Here is a 19980-nt window from a genome sequence, read left to right as displayed (position 1 = left end):
AAAAAGAGAAAATATTAAAGAAGAAAAAGACTGTGGATCATTTTGGACTTGAACCTTATGCAGTAGTGGGTACTACAGAGTCATGTCTCAACTACAATTCAAACTGCAATACCTTTTAAGCTTTGTGTTGAAAAGAATGAATATTTGGGAATGTAATTCTGTGTTTGTGATAAAGTCCTCCATAATAACTGATTCAAAGCAAAGGAGACTACAGTTTCCCCTGGTGCCCTGCCCCTGTCTCTGATTGGTGCATGTTTGTTGGGACATCTACCAGAGGGGATTAATGCCCCAGGCTAATGCCACTCCCTGTGCCCAACTCATATCAGGTGGCTGGGGGGCAGGCAATCCAGAGCCTTCTTGCTTCCCCAGTGAGGGATGGACAGCCCAGGAAGTGCCCTCCAAAGGGCCGGCCTGTCCCATGGATTGTCCAGGAGGAGGACAACACAAAGGCGAGGTTGTTTCTCGGTGAGCCCATGCCTGGCCTTGCAGAGCAAATACTGGGGATCATGCATCACGCCTCCAACAGGCAAGTGGCCCCACGCCCATAAGCCACAGGATGCCAGGGATGTGGGATTGGAGCTGCCCTGTGGGTTTTCTCAACGAAGTAAATACCTCCGAAGAAATTTGGGTCCTCTACCGCTCTCAGTCAGTTGCTTCCTGACTGGTCCACATGTGCTGGGATTCTGGGTTCAACTGGATCATACCATCGTGGAGGGCTGGAGCCACATCAGAAATGTCCCTGTAGCTCCTGCCTCCACAACTACAGGCCTGTAACGCTGCTCGCCCTAAGTGGTCAGTTAACACAGTGCATGGATGGTCTGGTCCACGAATGCCTTTTCCGGGCGTGTTTGACTTACAGCCATCTCTGTTCTCACTACGAAGACAGGAGAGGAGCTTCATAGAGGTGAAGTCAGTGGAAGATGCTCCAACCCTCCTTTGAACACACCTGCAACAAGGAAACCTATCTGATTTCCCCAGCTTTCCTCCCTCCTGTCTTGTGGCAGAGCAGTGCCTCCCTGCAGCTGACTTAGAGCAAACCAAACACAATTGGACCTGTTTTCACCGAGCAACTTGCAGTGTTTTGCCCAGATTCCAGCAGTGAACTCAATATCATTGGATGGGTTCATAATGCATGCATTTGTTCATACCAGGGAATTCCCTGGAAGGTTACTTGTAAAATAAATATCTTGTAAAACGGGGGAATTAATTTATCTATGTTCTTTTTCTTACTGGTTCTGTCTCCTTATAAAAATATGGAGAATGGTTATCAGGCATACATCACTTTTTCTTTTAATGGCTGGTTCAGGCTAATTAGATTCCAGGTTTCAGGTTTCGCAATGGCTGTATTTTGAAGTGTTCATGTGGCCCTGTGTGTGTTTCCTGTGGCTGGCTTAGTAAGCACCACAAACAGCTTGGCTTAAAACACCAGAAATGTATTCTCTCACGGTTCTGGAGATCAGAAATGTGAAATCCAGGAGTTGGCAGGATTGGCTCCTTCTAGTAGCTTCTATGCCTCTTCCAAGCTCCTGGTGGTTGCTGCAGTCCTTGGCATTCCTCGGCTTGTTGCTCCATCCCTCCAACCTCTGCGTTGGCCTTCACTTGGCTTCTTCCCTGTGTGTCTCTGTGTCTCTGTTTTCTTTCCTTATAGAGGACACCAGTCATTGGATTTAGGGCCCACTTTGATTCAGAATGATGTTATACTAACTCATTACATCTGTAAAGACCCTTTTTCCAAATAAGGTCCCATTCTGAGGTTCCGAAGAGGCCATGGATTTTGGAGCGATAACTATGAAACCCAGTCCAAGCACCATGCACCCAATGCTCATTTCCATCAGCCCACTTTTTGCCAGTGGGTAGAGAGATCTGCCTGTGACCACATGATAGGAAGTGGATGGATGTCAGGCCTTATGATCTGGAAGGAGAATGTCTGGATCAAGTGATGGGGAGGAGAATGAAAGCTGGAGAGCTGGTTGCCATGGTGACTCCTTCTTCAGTCTCCCAGCTTCCATAAAGTCCTGTTCCTCCTGCCATAGGCTTGGATTATTCCTGAGTCAACACGCTGTACTTTCAGGGCCTTGTGGGTGGCCAGTAGCCTTCCCTCCTCACTTGATTGTTTGGGGACCAGGGATGTGGCAGCTCTGGAGGGGGTTAGGACAGGGCTGTCTTTCAAGGAGGGTGACGATCACATGAGTCCCAGTTGAAGGAGGAGACTTGATTTGTTATTCTAGCAATGGGTAGAAGACTGGCTGGAGGCTGACTCAACATACAACAGCTCACACAGCTTTCTTGGGGCTTAGTCTTCACTGGTAAGGCCAGAGTTCTCACTGGACTTTTATGTCAACTGATGGCAAGGACTTTAAGATTTAGTGTGGTCACTAATGTATTATGGAACCTGAAGAACTGGGTGAGGGCCTTGCTCTGAAAACTGCACCTGGAGACTTCACCTAGGGCATTTTCTATGGGAGTATTTAGGTGGAACAGTCTAGTCTATGCCTAGGCAGTCCTGGGCACTCTTGCAAGTCTCAAATTTCACAACCACTGTTCCCCTTTTTCTCCTCCAGAGAGTTAACTGAGATAGCTAGGTGCTGACTTTGCCAAGGGAAAAAATGTATTTTTTTAATTCGCAGGCAATTTTATTTTATTTTATTTTTTATTTTTTATTTTTTTTTTGAGACGGAGTCTCGCTGTCGCCCAGGCTGGAGTGCAGTGGCGCAATCTCGGCTCACTGCAGGCTCCGCCCCCTGGGGTTCACGCCATTCTCCTGCCTCAGCCTCCCGAGTAGCTGGGACTACAGGCGCCCGCCACCTCGCCCGGCTAATTTTTTGTATTTTTAGTAGAGACGGGGTTTCACCGTGTTAGCCAGGATGGTCTCGATCTCCTGACCTCGTGATCCGCCCGCCTCGGCCTCCCAAAGTGCTGGGATTACAGGCGTGAGCCACCGCGCCCGGCCCCCAGGCAATTTTAATAATAAATCTTAATAGATGGGGTAAGAGCTGCCTTCATCCCATACAGAGAATACAATGGTGCTAGACTAAGTAGAGATTTTATTTCAGCTTAAAGATTCTGTTTGATGTCTGAAATTACATGTTTAGGCGGCATGGGGAACAGGACTGTTCTTTAGCATCAGTTTCACAATTACTTTAATCTACTAGGTTTCATTCACCTTATAATTCTGAAATTTCATCAGCAGTGGGAACAGAAAAGGATATTCACATGCCAGCCCCAAATTGGCTGTGATTGAAACTAATGATACAATTACAGCAATGAGTGTTTGCAACGGTTGATGATCAGGTACTGGTGTGGGATGAAATAGCAGATAAGTGGTGCTTGTGGGTGATGTGAGTCTCCATTGATCTGTTGAATTAGGTGCCTCTTCCTCTGGCATCACTGACAATTCTTGGTGGGGCCCGAAGATGGGGGTGGGTTACACTCTGGGTCAATTTCTTCTCCTCTCTCTGATGTGCTGAGGCCCATGGATTCCGTGAACAAGTGTGGGCTCTGTTTGTTCAGCCCTTGAAAAAGCTCAAGGGAAGATGTCTCCTAGGCAGTGGTAGCTCCTTCCAATTTCTGTGGTCGGAGGTTCTCCCTGCATATGGGAGCCCAGAGCCCGAGGCTCTGGATCTTCTCCCAGGAGAAGCCTGCAGTGGGCCTGATGGGCCATGGCCAAGGCTGAGCCTTCAGCTCTTTGTCCCTGCTGTGTTCCCTGAGAAGGCTTGGAAGTAGGGCAAAAGCCATGCACTCCTCTACAGCCCCACAGAGGGAGTATCAGGACAATGGAAAGGGAGTGATTCCCCCAGAGGAAGAATGCCTTGTGGACTCACACAGAGGAAGTTTGTTATGACTTTGATACTTGGAAGGCATGAGCCCAGTTGTAGCTGTGAGCTGTCTGACCTTATTTGTTGCGATGGACTCCACTGTGACTCTGGACAGAGCATTCTATTGAAGACAGTTTGCATATCAGCCGGATTATTATAAAATATACCAATAAGATTCTTCCTCCTGAAAGTGGCAGAAACTCAGATCAAACTGCCTTAAGCTTCTAAGGGGACTCATTGACTTGGGTAATTGAGCGCATTAGCGTATGGCGCTTTATGGATAGCTGGATCCAGAGTCACAGATGCTATCAGGATTCTTTCTCTTTCTTTTAGCTCTACTACTTTCTCTGCAATAGGTTAGTTCTCCAAAAGGAACAAGACGGCCACTGGAGCCCCAGGATTACAGGATCCTTTGTGTTTGGGATCTTATGGAATCCTGGACCTGCTTGGGTCACGTGCCCACTTCTGTGCTGAGGAGTTGGAAGTCATTTTCAGGTTGAGGAGGGCATCCCCAGAAAGCCAGAGAAGGGGGCAGAAATGCAGGTGAGCTCAACACCAGGCCTCCGCTACCGAATGTCAGGACACCAGCCTTCCTGAAGGGACATGTTAGGTGGACACCCAGTGAGAACCTATGATAGCAACCAGCAGCAGTTGGAGGAGGGCTGGGTGCGGCAGCTCACGCCTGTAATACCAGCACTTTGGGAGGCCGAGGTAGGCGGGTCACTTGAGCCCGGGAGTTTGAGAACAGCCTGGGCAACATAGTGAGACCACATCTCTACTAAAAAAATAAAGAAAAATTAGCTGGGTGTGATGGTGTGTATTCATCATCACTGCTATGAAGAACTCCTGAGACTGGGTAATTTATGAAGAAAAGAGGTTTAATTAACTCAAAGTTCCATAGGCTGTACAGGAAAGATGACTGAGAGGCTTCAGGAAACTTACAATCATGACAGAAGGTGAAGGAGAAGCAAGGACATTCCTCACAAGGTGGCAGGAGAGAGGGGGTGGGGGGAAGTGCCACACACTTTTAAGCCATCAGATCTCATGAGAACTCACTCACTATCTCGAAAATAGCAACGGAGAAATCTGCCCCCATGATCCAATCACCTCCCACCAGGCCCTTCCCCTAACACTGGGAATTACAATGCAACATGAGATTTGGGTGGGGACACAGAGACAAACCACACCACAGTGCATGCCTGTAGTCCCAGCTACTTTGGAGGCTGAGGCAGGAGGATTGTTTGAGCCTGGGAGTTCAAGGCTGCATTGCATTCCAGTATCCTGGGTGACAGAGCGAGATTGTATCTCAAAAGAAAAGAAAAAGAAAAAGAAAAAGTTGGAGGAAAAAAAAATTTAATAGCAGAAAAAATAGGAGTCTTCATACTGACAGCCTCACAACTCAGAGAACTTGAAAAATGTTATGTAGACAATGGCAATAAAGGGCTGACACGTCCCTGTGCACTGGTGAACACAGAACCTTCTTGAGGCTGTGCCCTTCAGCTTCGTTTGGAATTTGACATTTTAAAAAACACTCCACCCACAGGTTTCCTTTGAGAGACTAGAGTGTCTTTGAACTTAATATTCAGGTAAATAAAAAGACCACTTGGAAGAAAATTATCTCCTCTGAAAAGCTTGTCACTTAACACTTGTTTATTAGGAGAACTACAAAAAAGTCAGCAAAATGGCAGAATTCTTCTCTGACATTTAAAGCTTTCCATGTGGTTTGCCACTGAGAACAAGGTGTATGTTCTTTTCAATTGCCTAAATCTTGCTGCCCCAGCTGGGAACTTTGCTGCAGAATCCAGAGAAGTGACTCTTCAGGGTCTGAGAATGAACTTGGATGGAAAAAAATACGTTTTTATTTTTACTAATTTCCAACAGATATCAAGCATTTTATTCAACTATGGAATGGAAGCAACAGATTACAGCAGCATTAACAAGACCTGGGATACCATCACCAATCAAAATCATGGATATTTCATAGCACAAGAACGTTGTTTCAGAATCTCAAAGTACTCCTCCTACTCAACATGACTTTGAAATTGCAATAGTTGTTAGAACGGTCACTGCAGTTTGATATATGATGTGTTTACAAAGAGGCACATATATTGCTCTTTCAGAATTATAACTCTGTATGCATTTCAATGTAATTGGTTTCCTTTGTCATCTTCTGAATTTTATGTATTTAAAAATATTATTCTGATGTTAATACACAACAAAGAAAGGATAGAATTTTCAATAAATGGTGTTGGGGAAATTGGATATCCATATACAAAAAATAAAAATAAAATTGGATTCTTATCTTAAACCCTACACAAAAATTAACTCAAAATGGATTAAAGACATAGACATAAGACCTGAAACTTTAAAATTACTAGAAGAAAACATAGGGGATGACACTGGTCTGGGCAATAACTTTTTGGATATGACACTAAAAGTACAAGCAACAAAAGCAAAAATAGACAAACACAATTACATCAAGCTAAAAAAGCTTTCACACAGTAAAGCAAGCAATCAACAGAGTAAAGAGACTCTGTTGCAACCTACAGATGCAACTTACAGAATGCAAGAATGTATCTGTCAACCATACAGCTGAGAAGGATTTAATATCCAAAATATACAAGGAACTCAGCTCAATAGCAAAAACAAAAAACAACAACAAACCAAAACCAACTCACATATAACTCAGCTAACAATGGGCAAAAGATCTGAATAAATATTTCTCAAAGGAAGATATACGAATTACCAATGGGAATATGAAAAGATGCTCTACACCACTAATCATCAGGAAAATGCAAATTAAAACCACAATGAGATACCACCTCACACCTGCTAGAATATCTATTATCAAAAAGATAAGTGATAACAAACGTTGGTAAGGCCATGTAGAAAATGGAACCCTTGTACACTGTTGATGGGAATATAGATTGCTACAATCATTATGAAAAACAGTATGGAAATTCCTCAAGATACTAAATATAGAACTACCATATGATCCAGCAATCCCACTTCTGGGCATATATTTAAAGGAAATGAAATCAGTATCTTGAAGAGGTATCTGGACTCATATGTTTATTGCAGCATTATTCACAATAGCCAAGATACGGAATCAACCTTAGTGCTTAGTGTCCATTGATGGATGAATGGATGAAGAAAATGTGATACACACACACACACAAACACACACACACATGCACGCACACACAGGGATATTATTCAGTCTTTAACAAGAAGAAGATTCTGCCATTTGCAACAACATGGGTGGACCTGGAGGACATTATGCTAAGTGAAAGCAAGCCAGACACAGAAAAACAAACACTGCACAGCATGATCTCACTCATATGTGGAATCTAAGAAGGTTGGACTCAGAAACAGAGCAGAAGGCTGGTTACCAGAGGTGGCAGTAGGGATGACAGTGGGAAATTAGGAGAGGTTGGTTAAAGGATACAGACTTTTAGGTATAAAATGAATAAGGTCCTCAGAGCTAACGTACGGCACAGTGACTGTGTTAATAATAATGTATTTTAGATTTGAAAATTGCTAAGAGAGTAGATCTTCAGTACTCTCACCACAAAAAAAGGTTGAACTATGTGAAGTGATAGATAACATTAATTAGCTTGATTGTGGTCATCATTTCACAATGGATATATGCATCAGAGCTTCATGTTGTACATCTATATTCCATTTTTATTTTTTCAATTATAACTCAGTAAACCTAGAAAAAAATAATAATATCACTCTGAAAAGTGGTCTGCAGGTTTCACTAGCTTCTGAAGGGGGCTGTGGCACTTCCTAGATGCTGGGCACTATTCTATGGTTTTCCATATATTATTAAGTGAATCCTCACAGTCACATTATGAGGTATGTATTAATAATTAAGATAAAAAAACTGAGGGTCACAGAGTAGATAAATTCCCCAAGGATAAAGCCAGTAAGTGGCATAGTTGGCACTGAAATCTAGAAATCCAAGCCCCTAAGCTTTTTGCACCTCTCCTTGGTGAGGTAACAACCTTGTCATGGTCCAGTGAAGAGGCAGCGCCCAGCCCTGTCCCAAGCCCAGTGCTTCCTTCCCCCCAGTGCTTCCTTCCCCAAGTAATGTTCACAAAGAGTCCCAAAGTGAGCAGATGTCCCAGGGCCAACTGAGGGGCCCCAAGTCACACTCAAGAGGGAACTGCTATTGCAAGAACAAAGGAAATCTGCGCAGGGTTTGCTTCCCCCAAACGCTCCTGGTAAAGTTTCCCAAACTTTTACTTTCTGTGATCACTTAATGAACATTTAACTTACCCAGAGACAAATCTCAGGTTTTTTTAAAGGTGTCATCAGAAATTTCCCAACAACAAAGAGAAAATGCAGTGTTCTAGGTTAGTAATAATAAAATCTGTTTCTTACAGTGAGAGAGGTGATATTTTCTCTTTCCCTAAAACCTCTCCATCCCTGTTGATGATAGAGAACTCAATCCAACAAGAAGTTTTCTTTCTTCATTTTTCTTTTTTTTTCAAATTGAAAAGTAAAAATTGTAAATATTTATGGTGTACAACATGATGTTTTGATATTTGTGTACATTTTGGAATGGCTAAATCAAGCTTTTTAACATATGCATTACCTCATATACTTATTTTTGGAGTGAGAACACTTAAAACTGCCTTTCTAGAAATTTTCCAATGTATAGTATATTATTATTAACTGTGGTCTCATTATGTATAATAGATCTCTTGAACTTATTCCTCCTGTTTAACTGGAATTTTGTGTCCATTGACCACCATCTCCTCAATCCTCCAACCTCTACCCTCTGGTAGCCACCATTCTATGACTTGTTTCTCTGAGCCCTACTTTTTTAGATTCCACATATAAGTGAGATTATGCAGTATTTATCCTTCTGTGTCTGGCTTATTTCACTTAGCCTAATGCCCTCCAGCTTCAGCCATGTTGTCACAAATGACAGAATTTACTTCTTTTAAAGAGCCCTCACACTCTTGCTCTCTCAAGCTACCTTGTCCTTCTGCCTTCTGCCATGGGATGCGTAGCAAAAAGGCCCTCACCAGATGCAGCCCCGTCACCTTGGACTTCCCAGCCTCCAGAACCATACGAAATAAATTTTTCTAAATAAATTAGCATGAGGGCTAATTTAAAGGTTGAATAGTATTTTCTTTATCCATTCATGCATTAATGGATACTTAAGTTGATTCCATATCTTGGCTGTTGTGAATAATGCTGCAATGAACATGAAAGTATAGATATCTCTTCAAGCTACCGGTTTTATTTCCTTTAAATATATGCCCAGAAATTAAATTGCTGGATCATATGGTAGTTCTATTTTTAATTCCTTAAGAAATCTCCATACTGTTTTCCATAATGGCTGTATTAATCTACATCCCCACCAACAGTGTACAAGGGTTCCATTTTCTACACAGCCTTGCCAACATCTGTTATCTTTCATCTTTTTGATACTAGTCATTTTAACAGATGTGAAGTGATATTAATATCTTATTGTGATATTAATTGCATTTCTCTGATTAGTGATGTTGAATATCTTTTCATATACCCATTGGCCACTCATATGTCTTTTTTGAGAAATATTTATTCAGATTCTTTGCCCATTTTAACTGATTTATATTTGTTTTTGCTTGTTTTTGTTTTTGCTATTGAGTTGTTTGAGTTTCCTGCATATTTTTGATATTAACTTCTTATCAGATGTGTGATTTGTAAATATATTCTCCCATACTATATGTTGTTTCTTCACTCTATGGTCATTTCCTTTGCCGCGTGGGAGCTTTTTTGGTTTGATTGAATTCTATTTGTGCGAATTTATTTATTTATTTATTTATTTATTTATTTATTTATTTATTTATTTATTTATTTTGAGATGGTGTCTTGCTCTGTCACCCAGGCTGGAGTGCAGTGGCGCGATCTTGGCTCACTGCAAACTCCCACTTCCGGGTTCAAGGATTCTCCTGCTTCAGCCTCCTGAGTAGCTGGGATTACAGGTGCCCACCAGCATGCCCAGCTAATTTTTGTATTTTTAGTAGAGATGGAGTTTCACCATGTAGGTCAGGCTGGTCTTGAGCTCCTGACCTCGTGATCCTCCCGCCTCGGCCTCCCAAAGTGCTGGGATTACAGGCGTGAGCCACCGTGCCCGGCTGCATTTTTACTTTTGTTGCTTGTGCTTTTAGGGTCATATCCACAAATTCATTGCCAAGACCAATGTCCTAGAGCTTTTTCTCCATGTTTTCTTCCAGTATTTATAAGGTTCTAGGTCTTATATTTAAGTCGCTTATCTACTTTGAGTGGATTTTTGTGTGTGGTGTGAGACGAGGGTCTAATTTTATTTATTTGCATCTGGATATCCAATGTTCTCAGCACCATTTACTGAAGAACTGTCCTTTCCCTATTGTATGTTCTTGGAATCTTTGTCAAAGCTCAATTGACCATAAATTCATGAATTAATTTCTGGGCTGTTTATTCAGCTCCACTTGTCTGTGTCTGTTTTGTGGCAGTTTTATGCTGTTTAGATTACTATAGCTTTGTAATAGATTTTAAAATCAGGTAGTGTGATGCCTCTAGCTTTGTTCTTTTTGCTCAAGATTTATTTGGCCATTCATGGGTCTTTTGTGGTTCCATCCAAATTTATGGATTGTTTTTTCCATTTCTGCTAAAAAAAGTCATTGGAATTTTGATAGGATTGTATTTGACTCTTGGATCACTTTGGACAGTATGGACATTTTAACAATATTAAATCTTCCAATTCTTTTTTTTTTTTTTTGAGTCGGAGTCTCACTCTGTCGCCAAGGTTGGAGTGTAGTGGCATGATCTTGGCTCACTGCAACCTCCTCCTCCTGGGTTCAAGCAAATTCTCTGCCTCAGCCTCCTGAGTACCTGGGATTACAGGCGCCTGCCACCACAGCAGGCTAATTTTTTGTATTTTTAGTAAAGACTGGGTTTCACCACGTTGGCCAGGCTGGTCTTGAACTCCTGACCTCGTGTAACACCTGCCTTGGCTTCCCAAAGTGCTGGGATTATAGGCCTGAGCCGTCATGCCTGGCCTTAAATCTTCCAATTCTTAAACACAGAATATCTTTCTATTTATTTGTGTCTTTTTTTAACTTCTTTCATTCATGTTTTATAGTTTTCAGTCTACAGATCTTTCATTAACTTGGTTAAATTTACATCTAAGTAATTTTGGGGGGAGGCGCCACTGTAAATGGGATTGTTTTCTTGATTTCTTTTTCAGATAGTTAATTGTTCTTATATAGAAATGCTACTGATTTTTGCATATTGATTTTGTATCCTGTAACATTATTAAATGTATTAGTTCTAACAGTTCTTTGGTAGAGTCTTTAGGATATTTTATATATGAGATCATGTTGTCTGCAAATAGAGACAATGTAACTTTTTCCTTTCCAATTCAAATGACTTTTATTTATTTCTCTTCTAGTTGCTCTGGCTAGAACATCCAGAACTATGTTTAATAGAAGTGGTAAGAGTAGGCATCCTTGTCTTTTTCTGATCTTAGAGGAAAAGATCCCAACTTTTCACTGTAGAGTGTGACGTTAGTTATGAGCTTTTTATATGTAGCCTTTATTGTATTGAGGTACACTCCTTCTATCTCTCACCTATTGGGACTTTTTACCATGAAAAATGTGGAAATTTGTCCGGTGACTTTTCTTTATCTCTTGAGATGATCACATGGTTTTTGTCTGTCTTTCTTTTAATGTGGTGTATCACATTTATTGATTTAATTATGTGAAACCATCTTTGTATCCTAGGAATAAATCCCTCATTAGTCTTTCAAATGGAAAATCTTAGCTCACAGTTAAAGGTCAGAAGGACTGTCAGTAAATAGTCAGTGGCTCAGAAAGGATTTAAATTCAAAGTTGACTTCAATATTAGGGAAAGATTTCTCACTGAAGAAGGCTCTACTTTCCTGAAAGATTATAGGAACTACCAGGAAAACCTTGAGTCATGCTGGGGAATGCTAAATTTTCTTCCCTTCCCTTTTCCTTTGTTTCCGTTTCCTTTCCCTTTCCTCCCTACCCCCAGTACATCCTCTGTCTCCCAGCATGTTCCTATCTCCTTTGAAGCTTCTCTCCCTGAATTAGGTATTCACAGAGTTCATTTGAAAGAATTAATTAAATGTTACATAAAAGTTAAAACCAACCGAAAAGAGATGAGTAAAATATTCACCTCACCTGAATTTTTCAATGAAAAACCCTGAGCACAGTTTTCATGGAGTTTAGTAAGCAGATTTGCAAAGGCTTCAGGTCAGGGAGAATATTCAGGCATCACCATGTGACCAGGACCCAGCAACGTACTCAGTCTATGCGCAACTGATACTCAGTCTATGTGCAACTGGGTTGGGCAGTGAAAGTTGATTGAGGTGGGAAGAGCATCTTGTGTTATAATAGAATATCACAGACTGGGTCATTTATAAAGAAAAAAATTTTATTTCTTATGGTTCTGGAGGCTTGGAAGTCCAAGGTCAAGGGGCTGCATCTGGTGAGGGCTTCTTGCTACTCATCCCATGGCAGAAGGCAGAAGAGAGCTTGGGAGAGCCAGAGCGTGAGGGCTGAACTTGCTTTTATAACAATTCCACGCTCACAATAACTAACCTGCTCCCTCAATAATGACATTAATCCATTCATGAGGGCAGGGTTTCATGACCTGATCACCACTTATTAAGGCCCCACCTCTTAACGCTTGCACCCTGGGGATTCAGTTTCCAAAACTTGAACTTTGGAGGACACATTCAAACAACAGCAAGGAGAAAAATGAGAAAAAAAGGAGAAAAAAGAGAAAAGAGGGACAGAGGAGGGAAAGAAAAGGGAGAGAGAAATAGGAAAGATAAAGAATGATAGAGGGGAGGCAAACAGAGACAAAGATTGAACAAATTAGAGAAGAGGGAAAGGGGTCTGGGGTTCGCTTCTCTGTAAACATGAGTTCAAGCCCTGTTCTAGCCTCACCAGCTTTCTGAATCTGATTTACTTCTCAACCATAGACTAGGGATCACACACAAACCCCAGAGAATTAAGGAATGCCAAGAGGGGCTTGTAGAGCACAGAGCCAGGCCTGGCCCTCCATAGACACTCAGTGAATAGAAATGCAAGTGGTGTAGGGCCTGGCATTGCTGTCACCAAGAGCCGCTACTCACTTGGGCTTAGAGGATGGAGCTCTCCTCCGTGTCTTATCTCAGTCACAAGTGCTTCTGCTGAAAACTGCTCTTGTTCTCCAACCACTCTTTCCTCTGGAACCATAGTGGTCCTTTGGGATCAGAGAGCACAGCTGCCACCACCAAGGAGCTGCAATCACCACCACCAAGAAGCTGTAGCAACAGAGACCAGCGCAACGGTACTGTGAGGACCCAAGAAAACCCAGCTGTGAGCCAGGAGCTTTCCTCCCTGAAGCTTTCAACACCACGGGAATTGATTCATGGCCCTGTCATTTCATCTCATTCCTCGTGGACTCTCAGCATCTTTAGAATGACCTGAACATTGTGGAGGGAGTCCAGAATCCCTACCCCTGGGCTCTGAGGCAATGCCTTGGGTTTTTGCATTGTCTCTTTTCTAGTAATGGCAGCAACAACAACAACAGCGAAAACCCCAGCTCAACCCACTCTGACCCTAGCGCTCTCTTCCTGGTGTCTTCACTTGCACAGCTTAAAAACTATAAATAACAAGGCCCTTTTCCAAATGTCTTTTGGTAAACTATGCCTGACCCTGAAAACAAGGCCACCATCTTCCAGGTGGGAGTGGCCTGTGAGATTATAACCTCAGTCCTCTTTCCTAATAACTGGCTGCTGTGATCTACCTTGCCTGTGTGGCCCTGTCCTTTGATTGACACACTGGTTGGGGTGGAAGGTGAAGAGTCTGCCATGTTACAACCTTAGAAGGAGAATGTGTGGTCCCCAGACCAGTGCCTGGGGCAGAACATCTTTTCCTTGTGACTCAACCAGACTGATGAGGGTTCCAGCAATAACTGGACAGCAGCTAGGCCCTGGATGGCCAAGGAGGAGACAGGCTCTTCACACAGACACCCTCAGGGTGGATGCTGAAATCTGTGAGTAGGCTGGGGTGGGGGAGACGCCCACGTCAGAATACCTGGGAGAGGCTATATGTAAAAGGGAACTTACCTGCTGCTTGTGTGGATGTGGCCTAATACTAAGATGTTTTATGACTCCAGATTAGCTAAGAAAGGGGAGCTAGAGAGAGGCAGTGATTAATCCTCCCACGGAAGAACATGGGATGGGGGAGGTCAGATCTTGATCACCTGGTGACTTCTCCATGGACCCCAACATGTCCCTCCATGTAGACAGAGGGGGGTCAGAGCAGCAGTGCAGGGTCTTCCCAACCACTGAGGAGCCCGGTTGCACCCTGCAAGTTCAACAGAGGGCCTTTGTGGCACTGGTTTGCGTTGCTGGGAGGAGTGCAAAATGCACAGGAACCAGGGCCTACCCTTGGGGTGGAGCAGGTGAACAGCACAGAGAGGCGACACCATCACATTAGACAGACCAGAAATGTGTCCCAGGAGGTAGGGTCCATGTGCTGGGAGCCATGGGGGAGCCTCCATCCCTCTCTCAGGGCTTTCCCCATGGGGGCCTCGGAAGCTGCAGTGCTTGTCATATGCAGTGGCATAAGAAAGAGTCACATCAAGACCCAGTCCATGACATTCCTCAGGGGCCCCTGAGTGGATTTCACAAGGAAAATCTCTTTTAAAGCCAAGCCCTAAGCACATGTGTTTCTCCCAAGGAAGGGGCATGCTTCAGCCCTGATCTTGTTTCCCTTGTTCTTGGCCCATACAGCTTGGCCTCAGTTAGGGACTCAACTGTGTGAACTGTTGAAGTCCTATGGCCCACAGGGTACTTTCTAACCCCCTCTTGGCCCAGCCTCCTCCTGGGTCCTCTTGTCCCCGACCCCTTGTGCATTCACATTTCCAGTTTTCTGTTTTTTGGTGCAGTGTGCACCTTCCTGTGTGCCACCTTGGGTCTGTGGTGGAAGGAGGTAGAGGGTGACAGTGTGCACATCCGTCTGTCTTTTCCAGTCGGGGGTGTCCTAGTGTCTCCATTCATTGGACTCTCAGTGTCCCCAGATGAAGTCTTATCTCAAAGTCCTCCAGGAGAAGATACAAGCAGGGTCAGATGCCGCAGACACACAGTTATGAGAAGAGCCCACCTGGCCAGCCCGGGATGGGTCAGTGGGGCTCCTAGTGCACTGGAACACTCTGTAAGCTTCAATGCAACTGCTTAAAAATGCAAAGCAGTTTTTGTGGGTTGGCTGGTTTGCATATTGGGCGCACGTGTCTGTGGTAAAAGTCTAAAGCCATGTGTTTCCTGGTGGTTAAGAACACAGGCTCTGACCTTCTGTAGCCTGGATTGGAACTCTGGCTGCTTAGCTGTGTGGTCTTCAAGTTACTTAATGTCTCGGTGCCTCCATGTCCTCACCTGTAAAATGAGGATGATGATGACTATCTCATGGGGGAGGAGGGGACTATGAGAGCCCCTATGTTGGTCTTGAATTCCCGGCTGCAAGCAATCCTCCTGCGTTGGCTTCCCAAAGTGTTGGGATTAAAGGCCTGAGCCACCTCGCCCAGCCAAGATAGATACTGTTTTAATGCTATATATATAATCAAAATTAATGCAATAAATTCCTTGATGACAAAATAACAACATTTTAAATAAAGAGGATCTGTATTTCTGAACTTGCCTTTTGCTGCAGGCTCTAACATGGCTTGGTCTACCACTGACTGGCAGTTACCTCTCTTTGAGAATGTATGTGCTGGTCGCAACACACTTATGATTTCTCAGTCGTATGGCCGTATGGCCAGCCTGCAAGGCAGGAATTATTACAGATAAGTAAACTGAGGCTCCTGGAGATTAAGTCATTTGCCCAAGGTCAAACCACGGCCCTTGGCCTCTGCAAAGCTGCCTCCCAACTGTACCCACAGCCGGAGAAGACGGCCCCAGGCTCAAGACTAGAGATATGATTGGTCTCTTCCAGCTAAAAATGCCTAAGCAGATCAGAGGCTAAGGAGGAGATTTCAATCATGTAACTGCTATCTTGTGAGCCTGTAATAGCTGGCGAATGCATGGGTTTTTCTCCTGTGGTTTTTGCTTAACCTCTTTTTTAATTTCATTGTTCCTTTAACAATGTGATTCTTTTGGCTCTCTAATCTGTCCTAATAAATGCTGTAATTACAAGTTTCCCTGACGATGCTGTGCAGCAGGCGAGCTCCCTCCCTGGCTCCTGGGAAACTGAACTGGAGAGGGATCTTGGCAGGGAGCCGCTGCATCCGCCAGGCCTCAGTCACCACCCGCCTCTCAGTCAAGTTCAGCTCTTTGAAGCCAGGACCTTGTCTGTCTTGTTCACAGTAGTATCTCCCAAATCTGCCTGGTGCCTGGCACATAGAAGGGGCTTAATAAATCTCTGTTGAATGAATAAATGAAAAAATAGAAGTCTAAGTAGCGTGTTCGAACCCTTGAAAAAGTACATGCAACCTATGTAGCATCTTTTCTTGAACCTTGTACCTCGTGTGGTGGTTGGAGTTCACTGAGGATATTTGTAGAATGAAATAAAAAAGCATATAGGTGTTGTGTTGCATTGTATAATGTGCCTATACACACACACAATTATATATATGTGTGTATGTATACATATGTATATATAATTATATGTATATATATACCTCTTCAGTCAAGAACACAGCAGAATACACATTATTTTACCCCAAAGAGGATAAAAATACTCATTTGTCATCAGATTCTTAGACATAAGGTGTATTTGTATTTGATGTGTTCACTAAGATTCACTGAGCCCTCAGACATCCTGCTCATGGGACAAATGAGCTTGTCCGGAGCTCGTGAGTTGGTTCATGATTTGAAGCCTTTGACCTTGTCTTCAGGCTATTCCTTGTACAAGCTGTGTTTAGGCAGAGTGCGTTCTCCATGGCTGCTTCCCCAGTGTGACTTCCAGTCTGTGGTCCTTTGTACTCCTCAGAAAAATAAAGTGTTCTGAGGCTAAAGATCACCCATGGTAGATAGGGGCGTTGGAGAGGATGAGCAGGAAGAGCCCATCTGTGTGGGTTGGGGATCTGTTCTGCTGCCAGGTCCTGCCCTCCCTCCTGAGTCCCTGGATCCAGAACACAAACTCTCCTGTTCCCCTAGACCAAGCTGTGTGCACCCTCGTGTCTTTGCCTGTGCCTTGTCCTGGCCAGAAATCTTTCCTTCCCTGTCCCTTCATCTTTCCTTCCCTGTCCCTTCATCTTTCCTTGACTCCTGCCCTATAATGATCTAAAGAGCCTCCCTCTTTCGTATCTCATCAGCATAGGCATCACCTGGGAGCAAAGCAAGGCTCAGGCCCCTGCCTGATGAATCAGAATCTGCTTACTAACAAGCTCTCCAAGTGATTCATCTGCCCCTTCAATTTTGAAAAGCACTGGAGATAGCTCCTACTCATCCTTCAGTGTTCAGCTCAGGAGCCGCCTCCTCCAGAGAGCCCGCCCTGATCTTCCTACCCACCACAGCCGGCTGCTGGGACAATTAAAGAGCGAGGCACAGCCCCAGCATGTACACCCACCACATTCATGAGCACTTATAGCTCATGAGTCTTTCTTATTTAATGGTGGTGCACTCTGGTGGAATAAACTTAAAATTCCTCTTGGAATCTCCAAACGAGGGGCATCATATAGCCTCAATGCAGGCTGTAAACGCATCATACCTGAGAACCCCCACCCTTCACTGGAGCCCCACCTGTACCCGCCCCTACCGTCCTTGTTGTGGGAGTAGTGCAGGAACCAAATGCAAGTTCAAGAGAGACATGCGGCACACCACACTCTATGCTAGGGAAAAGCAGGCTTTCCCTGGGGTAATTAATACACTACAGCCTTTCTGACTTTTTGTCAGGGGCTCTCCTGCAGAGATTTTACTAAGGCTTTCTTAAAGTAGTGACAAACATCACAGGGTTATAAGAAAGCACCCAAGGGTGTCTTTCATTCCTCCTCTCTGATCCTCACAACCATCCAAACACAGCCCGATCTGTCCTTGATTCATCTTGTGATGACCACCCCAACAGCAGACCCCTGTGACACCCCTCGCTGAAATCCTGCCTCTCCCCCAATTCTTATTCCGTTCTCTCCACAACCAAAAAGGTCAAGGTGGCATACACATTCCTCCATGCCCCCTTCCCTGCAACCCCACCTCTCGAGGGGTAAGACCCTTCCCTGGGTGATCACACTGCACTGGATGTCACATCTGTGCACAGGGCTCTGCACACTCCCCACAACCCCACTTTACTTTGCTTCCCCTGGACCCAGAGGCAGAGTTCTCCTGGTCTTATCCTACCTGTACCTTCTACCTGCAATATTCTGCCCCTGACCCTCCTAGGGTCCTCCTTCTTACTTTTAGATCTCAGGTTAAATGTTGCCTCCTGGGTGCTCTCCCATAGCCCCTGTTCTCCCATCACTGGATTGGAAATGTCTGCAGAGCACATATTCCCATCACTTGCTTGTCTTTTATTACCTGACCTTGCCCATCACTAAAATGTAAGTTCTAGTGGTCTGCAGGCCTCATCGGGTTGGCATTTTTCATCTCTGTATCCCAAGCCCCTAGAACAGTGCAGAAGACATGATAGACACTCCATGGATATTTATTAAATAAATGGATGTGAGTGAATGCAATAAAACAAGCACTTTCAGTCAAATAAACCCAAGAGTGCTGGTCATTCTCCAAATTTGTTTTCTGCCTGCTCTGTGCCATGGAGGCCAACTCCTCTGGCTTGCACTTCGCAGGCCCTCTTTCAGGCAGCTGCCTGTGCACCTGCAGTCAATGAGAGGATGGGAGCAAAAAGTGGGGGCAGTTTTCCCTGGTCCCTTGACAGGGCCTCACTGGGCTCAGATGACATCACTTCCTCTCTCCTCCCTTGAAACCTGGGGGTGGGAAACCTTGGCATCTGGGAGGCTTCCCATCATTTGTCTGAGCTCTCATCCCTGCCCACAGCTCAGGAAACTTCCTTTGTCAAAGTCTCTTCATCTGCACCATTTAGCATGAACTGTTCCTTGTGGGGGCAATGCTCCTTCTGCGTGCATACAATTTAGATATCTTTTCTGTATATACAGAATGTATGCACATAACTTTAAAAAAATTTACTTAATTTTTAAGGGGGTGGTTTCTTCATTTTCTGCTTTCCTCTTTAGCTCTGCTTCCAAGTTCCCCTCATCACTGCGGTCCCTAGTGAAATCTTCCAACTGCATGGTGTCCAGCACATTTTCAGCCAGAGATTTTAGTTGGCTCGTGGTATCTTTCATGACCTGTTTTTTTTGTGCATTCAAAGGTTTCCAGCCTTTCTTTCTCCTCCTTCCTTTCCTGTACTCTCTGCTCCCATCTCGCGATCTCTTGGTCGAGCACTTCCGGACTTTCTGCAAAATAGGTGTTTTCATTCAAACTGTGTTATTTCCTTCTGAAGTTTTCCTCCATCCTCCTTTCATCCTTTTAAGATGTGTCCTGCATCAATCACTTGGGAACGCTTAGGAGACTCACTTTTCCATGTTTTTTTTTCCAGAAAGCCTCCTGTGTCCTGCAGAGAAGACCTGCTCAGATTTTTATTAAGGGTCGATAAGCAGAGGGATTGTAACATTCAAGGTCTGGCCTCCATCAGGGGTGACTTGAGGGCTTCCTCAGCCTGTCTCTTTAGTCCAGTGTTCCACCTTCTCCATGGACCTGCTGGTGAGAACAACACTTTTACTAAGCTCTTTTCCTCTTTATAAAGTGTCATCTCTTAATGACTAAGACCACCACAGCAACACAAACCAGGACCTCCCAGGGATGCCCAGGGACCCCCGGGGCTCATCTCATGATCTCAGCCATCACCAGCACAGCAGCCCGCAGCAGCTTCAGAGCGGCTGGAGAGACATTTGGGGACGAGCAGCCCCTCTGTGGCTCTGCCTCTGTTTGCCAGTGGCCTGTGGACCACAACTGCCTACTCGGGACCCTGCGGAGTGTTCTGTATCTAATGCAAACAGGTGCCTGGCAACCAGGACAGATAATCAGTTGGGCTGGGGGAGGGGAGCAAGCCAGATTCTAAAAACAGTGTCCCTGACATTGCTGTGCTTACTGCACAGATAGAGGTGATATTATATTCCCTGCCCAGGTCATGAGGGAACTGGGAGTGGCTGACAGCACTCT

The 19980-nt window shown here is 44.3% G+C and overlaps 1 long non-coding RNA gene across 1 annotated transcript, besides 1 other annotated feature; it reads right to left on the bottom strand.

Annotated features, from left to right (window-relative positions):
• Nucleotides 15099-15178: a silencer, noted in NCBI's record as "silent region_13317". NCBI's record gives its function as "represses an Ori minimal core promoter by ATAC-STARR-seq in GM12878 lymphoblastoid cells {active_cell/tissue: GM12878}" and the evidence as "EXISTENCE:reporter gene assay evidence [ECO:0000049][PMID:35858748]".
• On the bottom strand, nucleotides 18429-19752 carry LOC101928398 (uncharacterized). The gene is made up of 3 exons (NR_109926.1): nucleotides 19666-19752; nucleotides 19336-19515; nucleotides 18429-19214 (listed from the first exon to the last, which is right to left on the bottom strand). It is a non-coding gene; the product is annotated as an uncharacterized LOC101928398 (long non-coding RNA).
• Nucleotides 19753-19980: the final 228 nt, after the last annotated feature.

The sequence above is a fragment of the Homo sapiens genome, chromosome 21 (genome assembly GCF_000001405.40).
Source record: "Homo sapiens chromosome 21, GRCh38.p14 Primary Assembly".
Lineage (NCBI taxonomy): Eukaryota > Metazoa > Chordata > Mammalia > Primates > Hominidae > Homo > Homo sapiens.
Note: the sequence above shows the minus strand (reverse complement) of the source record. Positions and strands in the feature narration are given on the sequence as shown.